The sequence below is a fragment of the Homo sapiens genome, chromosome 2 (genome assembly GCF_000001405.40).
Source record: "Homo sapiens chromosome 2, GRCh38.p14 Primary Assembly".
Classification (NCBI taxonomy): Eukaryota; Metazoa; Chordata; class Mammalia; order Primates; family Hominidae; genus Homo; species Homo sapiens.
The window spans coordinates 118,132,096-118,144,054 of NC_000002.12; the positions used below are offsets into that span (position 1 = coordinate 118,132,096).

General features: G+C 41.9%; 1 long non-coding RNA gene across 1 annotated transcript, besides 1 other annotated feature; it reads right to left on the reverse strand.

Annotated features, from left to right (window-relative positions):
* LOC124907879 (uncharacterized) lies at positions 1-10,934 on the reverse strand. Its single transcript, XR_007087211.1, has 2 exons — positions 10,829-10,934; positions 1-277 (listed from the first exon to the last, which is right to left on the reverse strand). It is a non-coding gene; the product is annotated as an uncharacterized LOC124907879 (long non-coding RNA).
* Positions 10,042-10,715: an enhancer, noted in NCBI's record as "OCT4-NANOG-H3K27ac-H3K4me1 hESC enhancer chr2:118899713-118900386 (GRCh37/hg19 assembly coordinates)". NCBI's record gives its function as "activates a minimal SCP1, AML or CMV promoter by ChIP-STARR-seq in naive and primed H9 embryonic stem cells {active_cell/tissue: H9 hESC(naive and primed)}" and the evidence as "EXISTENCE:reporter gene assay evidence [ECO:0000049][PMID:30033119]".
* Positions 10,935-11,959: the final 1,025 nt, after the last annotated feature.

The following is an 11,959-nucleotide window of genomic DNA, read 5'->3' on the forward strand; positions in this document are numbered from 1 at the left end:
TTCTCTGAACTCCTGTTGCTTTATTTCTAATGGGGTTAAACAGTACATAGCCAGAAGCGTTGTTGTATTAACAGCACCCAGCACAGTGTATGGCATACAATCACACTGAAGAAGTGTCAGCGTCTTCCTTCCTTTCAGTCTCCCATCCCTGCCTTTACTTCATTAGTTTAAACTCAACTCTCCCTCCTCCTTTGAAGCCACCGCACGTGTTGTCTCTCCCATTTCTTTGGCAGCCAATTGGCCTTCCATATCTCGGACTCCATATCCAGGATTTTAACTGTGAATCAAAAATATTTGAGAAAACAATACAATGAAAATAACAACCCAACAATAAAACATACAATAAATCTTTACATAGCATTTGCATTGCATTAGGTATTATAAGTGTTCTAGAAATGATTTAAAGTATATGGGAGGTTGTGTGCAGGTTACATGCAAATATTACGTCGTATTATATAAGGGACTTGAGAAACTGTTTATCTGGGTAGCCTCAGGGGGTCCTGGAACCAACTCCTCTGAATACTGAGGGACGACTGTATTACCACATAACAGTTCTGATATTAGGTCTTCTATTATTCATTCCATATTGTATTTATATTTATTTTTTGACAATATTTATTGAGCACCTGTTCTATGCCTAGTGCTAGGCATTAAGGTTAGTTTATGTTGTAAGTTACAGAAAACCTTAGCTGGGCATGGTGGCTCACGCCTGTAATCTCAGCACTTTGGGAGGCCGAGGCAGGTGACACCCTGAGGTCAGGCATTTGAGACCAGCCTGGCCAACATGGCAAAACCCCTTCTCTACTAAAAATACAAAAATTAATGGGGCGTGGTGGCAGGCACCTGTAATCCCAGCTACTCGGGAGGCTGAGGCAGGAGAATTGCTTGAACCCGGGAGGCGGGGGTTGTAGTGAGCCGAGATCGTGCCACTGCACTCCAGCCTGAGCAACAGAGTGAGACTCCAACTCCAAAAAAAAAGGAAAAAAAGAAAAAAAAAAGGAAAGAAAAGGAAACCCAACTCAAACAGGCTTCATCAATAAGGATCACCTAGTGGCACCCAGATGGAAGGCACATAGGCATGGAACTGTGGCTATGCAGGTTGATTGGGGTGATATTCCTCCTGTTTGATTTATCTATCTGTCCCTTTCAGGATTTTTGCAATGGTTTAATACCACTAGTGCTATTAGCAATATTTTCTTAAAGTGATTTACTGTTTCCCTAAATAAACTTACTTTAAAAATAAACTTTAAATCAATACTCTAAAGGAAAACAAATATCCCTGCCATAGGAGGTAATGACAAAATAAGTATAATGACAAAAATAAGTACAATAACAATGATCAAATTCTGACCAATGTTGTTGGCCCAAGCCCCTGAGTCTGAGGCCACCTTGTTCTTTATTGAAAAGGGAAATTAGAAAGAGTTGGAGTGGTGTTTTTAACCACCAGACTAGCATCAAACTAAGACTTTCTCTTTGATATAATCAGAATTGAAAAAATAATTATTTTCTCAATATAAGATTCAATGATGTCTAATATAATGTCCAAGCTCTACCTAAAATTCACTGCAGGTGAATTCTATCCATTCCATATAAAGGCACATACCATGTAATGAGAGTGTAGTCAGAGACTGCTAGGATTCATGCTAAGGGTCAAAGTGATAAGAGCTGCCCATGGTGAGGTGAATTTCACTGGCAGGGGCTGCTTGAAGGGGTAGACCATGGGGCAGACATGAGGCAGGCAGTAGGGATGGGCTTAATGAGAAAAGAAGACAGAAGATACTCAGGGATGATGTCTCCAGGGCTTGGAAACCAGAAATTAGGTTCTGAGGGGAAAGTGGGTACTTAGAGGTGTCTCAAAGAGAATCTCTAACATAGAGGTAAAATAACTGAAGCCAGGCCCAATGAAGAGGGCAAAAGATAACTGGAGCAATTACACTGCCTAAAACATAATGGCCTCTGAATCATGGTAAAACAGTGGGCAGAGGGTGGGAGTCATGGGTCACTGGGCTAGGATTCTGAAAAGCTGTGAGCAATCTGGTGTGATTTCTCACCGCCTAGGCAGATGTACACATTAAGTTAGAGATTTCAAGTTCAAATACCTGCATGTGTCAGGCAGGTAATAGGAACAACTAGTTTTCATGGGTGTAAGATAATAGTGGGTAGTGGGGGTTGGGGCAGAACACACACCACACGTAAAGACACTCAGATTCTGTGAAAGCAAACTAAAAGAAAACACTGGACCTGCCAAACAAGCTGCATCCAAGAAACCTGCCCCTGCACCCCCCCATGTCGTTAGACTCTGGCCTGGATTATTTCTGTGTGTTCCCACATATTGGAGTCACTACTCAAGATCCAGATGAGTTGTGTTGGTTCTGGTCTTCCAGAAAGTGGACCCTAAGACATGATTAGACTTGTGGGAGAGTTACTGGGGGAAATGCCTGTGAAGGAAAAAGGAGAGGAAGCCAGAATGGCAGGGAGAGCTTTTAAGTACAGGTACAGGTGTAAGACCTGGGAAATGGGGCATGGGAAGAGAGAGTGTGTAGGGGTGTCTCAGGCTGCAGGAAGGTCTTAGACGGGCCATCGAGTAGTCCTCAAGCCAAAGATGTCTTCAAAGGGGCCCATGTCTGCGGGAGGGGGCATGCCTCTTAATATCCCTGCTGCCCTCAGTCGCTTGCTGGAAGCAACAGGGCAACGGTGGTGTGAACTCAAGGATGGATCAGGAAGGCAGCAGCTGGAGCTGTCAATCATACCCCCAGAGCAGGAGATCTGAGTGGTGCCTTTCATAACCACAGCATGGCTGAGGGGGATCTGATGCCCCCCAAGTAGCAGGCTTCTTGGCTACTATTCAGCTTCTGTGCTGGGGAGAAAGATCCAACCTTCCTGTCTCCTTTGGGATCCCCCATCCCAAATAAGGAGAATGATTGGATCTTGGAAGTCGACAAATGATAAATGTCCATTATCAAAAGAGCTCTGTGAATTGATATTGTAACCCTTCCCATTAAGAAAAGAAGTTTCTTAGCCAAAAATGTTTGAGAAACACCTATTTTTAAACAAACATTAAATAGATTTCCAGGATTTCCCAGAGCTGTTACTAGGCTGATGTATATCTTGAGTGTCCATGAGAATGAAACAGTATGTACAGTTTGTCACATTTATTCGACCATTGACACACACTCCCAAACTCCAGTTTTTTATTATATTTTAATAGAGCATCTTGCAAGATGCATTTCAATGTGCTGTACATGCTGCACATCTTCTGTTTGTCCCCCCAGATCCACTCACCATCCTTCTCCTTTTCCTCTGTGCCCCAGAGGATAAGCTTCATGAACAAGGTCTTGACCCTCTTTTACCCTTTATTAGCTTTGCCCAGTAGAACGTTTACTGATGATGAACATGTCCTATGTCTACCCTGTCCAGGATGGCAGCCACTAGCCACCAGTTATTGAGCACTGAGGAACTAAATTTTTAACCTTATTTAATTTTGATTAACTTAGATAGCTAAGTGTGGCTAGTGGCTCTCTTACTGGGCAGCACAGTTCTGGCTTCTGGTTGGGTCTGGCCAGTAAGAAGCAACAAGAGAATCCTGGGGAGGAAAAGCAGGGTGAAGAAGATTATTTATTTCCCTGGGACCTCTCCCTGTGTGGTTACCATGGGTCATCATGTCCTCTGCAAAGGCCTCAGCTCTTGTCAGACATCCCTTGCCATACAGCCACTCTCTTGCCAAATTCAGCAGAGACTTCCTTTTCCTGGCCTTTGAGGACGAGGGGTGGTCAATGCAACCTAATGCTGGTGGCTACTGTGCCAGCCTTGTAGGTTTCCCTACCCTAGCCTGCCCACACAATTGCAAATGGTCCTGTTAAAATTCTGCTCAGTTACTTGGGTTGAGAATATAATCTGTTTCCTATCAGAACCCTGCCTAGTCTAAAGCAGTGAAATAAAACTTGTTTTTAATTTTGAAAAATATTTTCTTGTAGTAATAGTAAAAACATCAGAAAGGACTTATGACAAGAATCACCAATCATTTTCCCCTAAACACTCTTTGTCCCTCCTCCCGATGCCTATAGGCAAGAACTTTTAATTCTCTTCAGTTTTACCTTTGAAGGTTACCTCCATACCTCAAAATAATAGGCTAAGGCCACTCTTAGTGCTATGTCAACTGGAGACATTATCCATTTCTCCCAATGGGCTACATGAGGATTTCCCTCACTTGCACCACCCCTACCTTCCCTTCCTCTCTCCTCCCAATTTTTGATAGCTATATTAGTATTTTAAACTTCCTCTACTGCTTACCACATACATTTAAAGAATAGATATAAACTACTATTTCTTGTTCTGTTGCTTTCAACTGCATCTCTTGACCCCCCGTTTTGCAAAATGAAGGTATTTCCTTCCCAACCTGTTTTTCTTCCCTTTTCATCTCCCTGTTTCTGTCAAGCTAAACCTTTATTTTTTACACGGTGAGTGTGGAGAACATGTACATTTTGTTTTGTAGCCACTCAGTTTTCTATGCTTTGTCTATGAGAGTTTCTAAAAATTAAGAGCCAGAAATGAACATCTATGTTATGTTGATATTGTTTAGTACAGGACTAAGGAGCGTGCATTTTCTTTTCTCCAGGCCTAATATCACAATCCCTTTGCTAGTCAAAGAGAACATTTCTAGCATCAGAGCCAAATGTACTTCCCCCGACTCCTCTAATTGCTCAAAATTATACCATATTTTAGTTCTTCCTAAAGAACTAAAGATCTTTTGTTCTTTCTTTCTATTTATTTATTTATTTTAAATTTTAGATTTATGGGGGTATATGTGCAGATTTGTTATATGAGTATATTGTGTAATGGTGAGATCTGGGCTTCTTATGAACACTTCACCCAAATAGTGAACATTGTAACCAATAGGTAATTTTTTTTTATTATACTTTTAAGTTTTAGGGTACATGTGCACATTGTGCAGGTTAGTTACATATGTATACATGTGCCATGCTGGTGCGCTGCACCCACTAACTCGTCATCTAGCATTAGGTATATCTCCCGATGCTATCCCTCCCCCCTCCCCCCACCCCACAACAGTCCCCAGAGTGTGATATTCCCCTTCCTGTGTCCATGTGATCTCATTGTTCAGTTCCCACCTGTGAGTGAGAATATGCAGTGTTTGGTTTTTCGTTCTTGTGATAGTTTACTGAGAATGATGATTTCCAATTTCATCCATGTCCCTACAAAGGACATGAACTCATCATTTTTTATGGCTGCATAGTATTCCATGGTGTATATGTGCCACATTTTCTTAATCCAGTCTATCATTGTTGGACATTTGGGTTGGTTCCAAGTCTTTGCTATTGTGAATAATGCCGCAGTAAACATACGTGTGCATGTGTCTTTATAGCAGCATGATTTATAGTCCTTTGGGTATATACCCAGTAATGGGATGGCAGGGTCAAATGGTATTTCCAGTTCTAGATCCCTGAGGAGTCGCCACACTGACTTCCACAATGGTTGAACTAGTTTACAGTCCCACCAACAGTGTAAAAGTGTTCCTATTTCTCCACATCCTCTCCAGCACCTGTTGTTTCCTGACTTTTTAATGATTGCCATTCTAACTGGTGTGAGATGGTATCTCATTGTGGTTTTGATTTGCATTTCTCTGATGGCCAGTGATGATGAGCATTTTTTCATGTGTTTTTTGGCTGCATAAATGTCTTCTTTTGAGAAGTGTCTGTTCATATCCTTCGCCCACTTTTTGATGGGGTTGTTTGTTTTTTTCTTGTAAATTTGTTTGAGTTCATTGTAGATTCTGGATATTAGCCCTTTGTCAGATGAGTAGGTTGTGAAAATTTTCTCCCATTTTGTAGGTTGCCTGTTCACTCTGATCGTAGTTTCTTTTGCTGTGCAGAAGCTCTTTAGTTTAATTAGATCCCATTTGTCAATTTTGGCTTTTGTTGCCATTGCTTTTGGTGTTTTAGACATGAAGCCCTTGCCCATGCCTATGTCCTGAATGGTAATGCCTAGGTTTTCTTCTAGGGTTTTTATGGTTTTAGGTCTAACATTTAAGTCTTTAATCCATCTTGAATTGATTTTTGTATAAAGTGTAAGGAAGGGATCCAGTTTCAGCTTTCTACATATGGCTAGCCAGTTTTCCCAGCACCATTTATTAAATAGGGAATCCTTTCCCCATTGCTTGTTTTTCTCAGGTTTGTCAAAGATCAGATAGTTGTAGATATGCGGCGTTATTTCTGAGGGCTCTGTTCTGTTCCATTGATCTATATCTCTGTTTTGGTACCAGTACCATGCTGTTTTGGTTACTGTAGCCTTGTAGTATAGTTTGAAGTCAGGTAGTGTGATGCCTCCAGCTTTTTTCTTTTGGCTTAGGATTGACTTGGTGATGCAGGCTCTTTTTTGGTTCCATATGAACTTTAAAGTAGATTTTTCCAATTCTGTGAAGAAAGTCATTGGTAGCTTGATGGGGATGGCAATGAATCTACAAATTACCTTGGGCAGTAGGGCCATTTTCACGATATTGATTCTTCCTACCCATGAACATGGAATGTTCTTCCATTTGTTTGTATCCTCTTTTATTTCCTTGAGCAGTGGTTTGTAGTTCTCCTTGAAGAGGTCCTTCACATCCCTTGTAAGTTGGATTCCTAGGTATTTTATTCTCTTTGAAGCAATTGTGAATGGGAGTTCACTCATGATTTGGCTCTCTGTTTGTCTGTTGTTGGTGTATAAGAATGCTTGTGATTTTTGTACATTGATTTTGTATCCTGAGACTGCTGAAGTTGCTTATCAGCTTAAGGAGATTTTGGGCTGAGACAATGGGGTTTTCTAGATATACAATCATGTCGTCTGCAAACAGGGACAGTTTGACTTCCTCTTTTCCTAATTGAATACCCTTTATTTCCTTCTCCTGCCTAATTGCCCTGGCCAGAACTTCCAACACTATGTTGAATAGGAGTGGTGAGAGAGGGCATCCCTGTCTTGTGCCAGTTTTCAAAGGGAATGCTTCCAGTTTTTGCCCATTCAGTATGATATTGGCTGTGGGTTTGTCATAGATAGCTCTTATTATTTTGAAATATGTCCCATCAATACCTAATTTATTGAGAGTTTTTAGCATGAAGGGTTGTTGAATTTTGTCAAAGGCTTTTTCTGCATCTATTGAGATAATCATGTGGTTTTTGTCTTTGGCTCTGTTTATATGCTGGATTACATTTATTGATTTGCGTATATTGAACCAGCCTTGCATCCCAGGGATGAAGCCCACTTGATCATGGTGGATAAGCTTTTTGATGTGCTGCTGGATTCGGTTTGCCAGTATTTTATTGAGGATTTTCGCATCAATGTTCATCAAGGATATTGGTCTAAAATTCTCTTTTTTTGGTGTGTCTCTGCCTGGCTTTGGTATCAGAATGATGCTGGCCTCATAAAATGAGTTAGGGAGGATTCCCTCTTTTTCTATTGATTGGAATAGTTTCAGAAGGAATGGTACCAGTTCCTCCTTGTACCTCTGGTAGAATTCGGCTGTGAATCCATCTGGTCCTGGACTCTTTTTGATTGGTAAGCTATTGATTATTGCCACAATTTCAGCTCCTGTTATTGGTCTATTCAGAGATTCAACTTCTTCCTGGTTTAGTCTTGGGAGAGTGTATGTGTCCAGGAATTTATCCATTTCTTCTAGATTTTCTAGTTTATTTGCGTAGAGGTGTTTGTAGTATTCCCTGATGGTAGTTTGTATTTCTGTGGGATCGGTGGTGATATCCCCTTTATCATTTTTTATTGCGTCTATTTGATTCTTCTCTCTTTTTTTCTTTATTAGTCTTGCTAGCGGTCTATCAATTTTGTTGATCCTTTCAAAAAACCAGCTCCTGGATTCATTAATTTTTTGAAGGGTTTTTTGTGTCTCTATTTCCTTCAGTTCTGCTCTGATTTTAGTTATTTCTTGCCTTCTGCTAGCTTTTGAATGTGTTTGCTCTTGCTTTTCTAGTTCTTTCAATTGTGATGTTAGGGTGTCAATTTTGGATCTTTCCTGCTTTCTGTTGTGGGCATTTAGTGCTATAAATTTCCCTCTACACACTGCTTTGAATGCGTCCCAGAGATTCTGGTATGTTGTGTCTTTGTTCTCGTTGGGTTCAAAGAACATCTTTATTTCTGCCTTCATTTCGTTATGTACCCAGTAGTCATTCAGGAGCAGGTTGTTCAGTTTCCATGTAGTTGAGCGGTTTTGAGTGAGATTCTTAATCCTGAGTTCTAGTTTGATTGCACTGTGGTCTGAGAGATAGTTGGTTATAATTTCTGTTCTTTTACATTTGCTGAGGAGAGCTTTACTTCCAACTATGTGGTCAATTTTGGAATAGGTGTGTTGTGGTGCTGAAAAAAATGTATATTCTGTTGATTTGGGGTGGAGAGTTCTGTAGATGTCTATTAGGTCCACTTGGTGCAGAGCTGAGTTCAATTCCTGGGTATCCTTGTTGACTTTCTGTCTCGTTGATCTGTCTAATGTTGACAGTGGGGTGTTAAAGTCTCCCATTATTAATGTGTGGGAGTCTAAGTCTCTTTGTAGGTCACTCAGGACTTGCTTTATGAATCTGGGTGCTCCTGTATTAGGTGCATATATATTTAGGACAGTTAGCTCTTCTTGTTGAATTGATCCCTTTACCATTATGTAATGGCCTTGTCTCTTTTGATCTTTGTTGGTTTAAAGTCTGTTTTATCAGAGACTAGGATTGCAACCCCTGCCTTTTTTTGTTTTCCATTTGCTTGGTAGATCTTCCTCCATCCTTTTATTTTGAGCCTATGTGTGTCTCTGCACGTGAGATGGGTTTCCTGAATACAGCACACTGATGGGTCTTGACTCTTTATCCAATTTGCCAGTCTGTGTCTTTTAATTGGAGCATTTAGTCCATTTACATTTAAAGTTAATATTGTTATGTGTGAATTTGATCCTGTCATTATGATGTTAGCTGGTTATTTTGCTCGTTAGTTGATGCAATTTCTTCCTAGTCTTGATGGTCTTTACATTTTGGCATGATTTTGCAGCGGCTGGTACCAGTTGTTCCTTTCCATGTTTAGTGCTTCCTTCAGGAGCTCTTTTAGGGCAGGCCTGGTGGTGACAAAATCTCTCAGCATTTGCTTGTCTGTAAAGGATTTTATTTCTCCTTCACTTATGAAGCTTAGTTTGGCTGGATATGAAATTCTGGGTTGAAAATTCTTTTCTTTAAGAGTGTTGAATATTGGCCCCTACTCTCTTCTGGCTTGTAGGGTTTCTGCCGAGAGATCTGCTGTTAGTCTGATGGGCTTCCCTTTGAGGGTAACCCGACCTTTCTCTCTGGCTGCCCTTAACATTTTTTCCTTCATTTCAACTTTGGTGAATCTGACAATTATGTGTCTTGGAGTTGCTCTTCTCGAGGAGTATCTTTGTGGCGTTCTCTGTATTTCCTGAATCTGAACGTTGGCCTGTCTTGCTAGATTGGGGAAGTTCTCCTGGATAATATCCTGCAGAGTGTTTTCCAACTTGGTTCCATTCTCCCCATCACTTTCAGGTACACCAATCAGACGTAGATTTGGTCTTTTCACATAGTCCCATATTTCTTGGAGGCTTTGCTCATTTCTTTTTATTCTTTTTTCTCTAGACTTCCCTTCTCGCTTCATTTCATTCATTTCATCTTCCATCGCTGATACCCTTTCTTCCAGTTGATCGCATCGGCTCCTGAGGCTTCTGCATTCTTCACGTAGTTCTCGAGCCTTGGTTTTCAGCTCCATCAGCTACTTTAAGCACTTCTCTGTATTGGTTATTCTAGTTATACATTCTTCTAAATTTTTTTCAAAGTTTTCAACTTCTTTGCCTTTGGTTTGAATGTCCTCCCGTAGCTCAGAGTAATTTGATCGTCTGAAGCCTTCTTCTCTCAGCTCGTCAAAGTCATTCTCCATCCAGCTTTGTTCCGTTGCTGGTGAGGAACTGCGTTCCTTTGGAGGAGGAGAGGCGCTCTGCTTTTTAGAGTTTCCAGTTTTTCTGTTCTGTTTTTTCCCCATCTTTGTGGTTTTTATCTACTTTTGGTCTTTGATGATGGTGATGTGCAGATGGGTTTTTCCTGTGGATGTCCTTTCTGTTTGTTAGTTTTCCTTCTAACAGAGAGGACCCTCAGCTGCAGGTCTGTTGGAATACCCTGCCGTGTGAGGTGTCAGTGTGCCCCTGCTGGGGGGTGCCTCCCAGTTAGGCTGCTCGGGGGTCAGGGGTCAGGGACCCACTTGAGGAGGCAGTCTGCCCCTTCTCAGATCTCCAGCTGCGTGCTGGGAGAACCACTGCTCTCTTCAAAGCTGTCAGACAGGGACATTTAAGTCTGCAGAGGTTACTGCTGTCTTTTTGTTTGTCTGTGCCCTGCCCCCAGAGGTGGAGCCTACAGAGGCAGGCAGGCCTCCTTGAGCTGTGGTGGGCTCCACCCAGTTCGAGCTTCCTGGCTGCTTTGTTTACCTAATCAAGCCTGGGCAATGGCGGGCGCCCCTCCCCCAGCCTCGCTGCCGCCTTGCAGTTTGATCTCAGACTGCTGTGCTAGCAATCAGCGAGACTCCGTGGGCGTAGGACCCTCCGAGCCAGGTGCGGGATATGATCTCGTGGTGCACCGTTTTTTTAAGCCCGTCGGAAACGCGCAGTATTCGGGTGGGAGTGACCCGATTTTCCAGGTGCCGTCCGTCACCCGTTTCTTTGACTCAGACAGGGAACTCCCTGACCCCTTGCGCTTCCCAAGTGAGGCAATGCCTCGCCCTGCTTGGGCTCGCGCATGGTGCGCTCACCCACTGACCTGCACCCACTGTCTGGCACTCCCTAGTGAGATGAACCCGGTACCTCAGATGGAAATGCTGAAATCACCCGTCTTCTTCGTTGCTCACGCTGGGAGCTGTAGACAGGAGCTGTTCATATTCGGCCATCTTGGCTCCTCCCCGCACCAATAGGTAATTTTTTAACCCTCACCTCTCTCTCCCTCCCCCAATTTGGAGTCCCCAGTGTCTATTTTTTTTTTTTTTTTTGAGATGGAGTCTCGCTCTGTTGGGCAGGCTGCAATGCAGTGATCTCAGCTCACTGCAACCTCCGCCTCCCAGCTTCAAGTGATTCTCCTGCCTTAGCCTCCTGAGTAGCTGGGATTACAGGCACCTGCCACCACTGCTGGCTAATTTTTATATTTTTAGGAGAGATGGGGTTTCACCATGTTGGCCAGGCTGGTCTCCAACTCCTGACCTCAAGTGATCTGCCTGCCTCAGCCTCCCAAAATGCTGGTATTACAGGTAGTGTCTATTATTTTAGTCTTTATGTCCTCGTGTACCCATTGTTTAGCTCCCACTTACAAGTGAGAATACGCGGTATCTGATATTCTGTTTCTGAGTTTGTTCACTTAGAATAATGGCCCCCAGCTCCATCCACATTGGTTCAAAAGACATGATTTCATTCTTTTTATGGCTGCATAGTATTCTATGGTGTACATACACCACATTGTCTTTATCTAATTATCTGTTGCCGATTAGGTTGATTCCATGGTTTTGCTATTGTGACTAGTGCTGCAATAAACATGAGTACAGGTGTATTTTTGATATAATAATTTATCTTCCTTTGGTATTCTATTTATATAATAATGCTCTTGTACAAATTTTATTTCCATGAGTTTTGATTCTTTCCATATTTTCTTGTAGAAGAAAGAACATACATCTCTCTGACTATATTCCAAATATCATCCAGCTCTGTAGAAATTTTATTAATTTCTCAGACTTGTTCTCCTTAAGACAATCTTCTTGAAACTCAGTAGTTTTCTATAATTGCTTTCAAGACTTTTAGTAGACTTCCTATCCAGGGAATTCTTTTCATCAACATTCTGGTTGGCTGTACACTTTTCTATAATTCATAGTTCTGTCTTTCTTGGTTTTTGCCAATTTTTCCCTCCCACCTCCTTTTGAGGGAGTACATCCTCAGGAAATTTATATATAT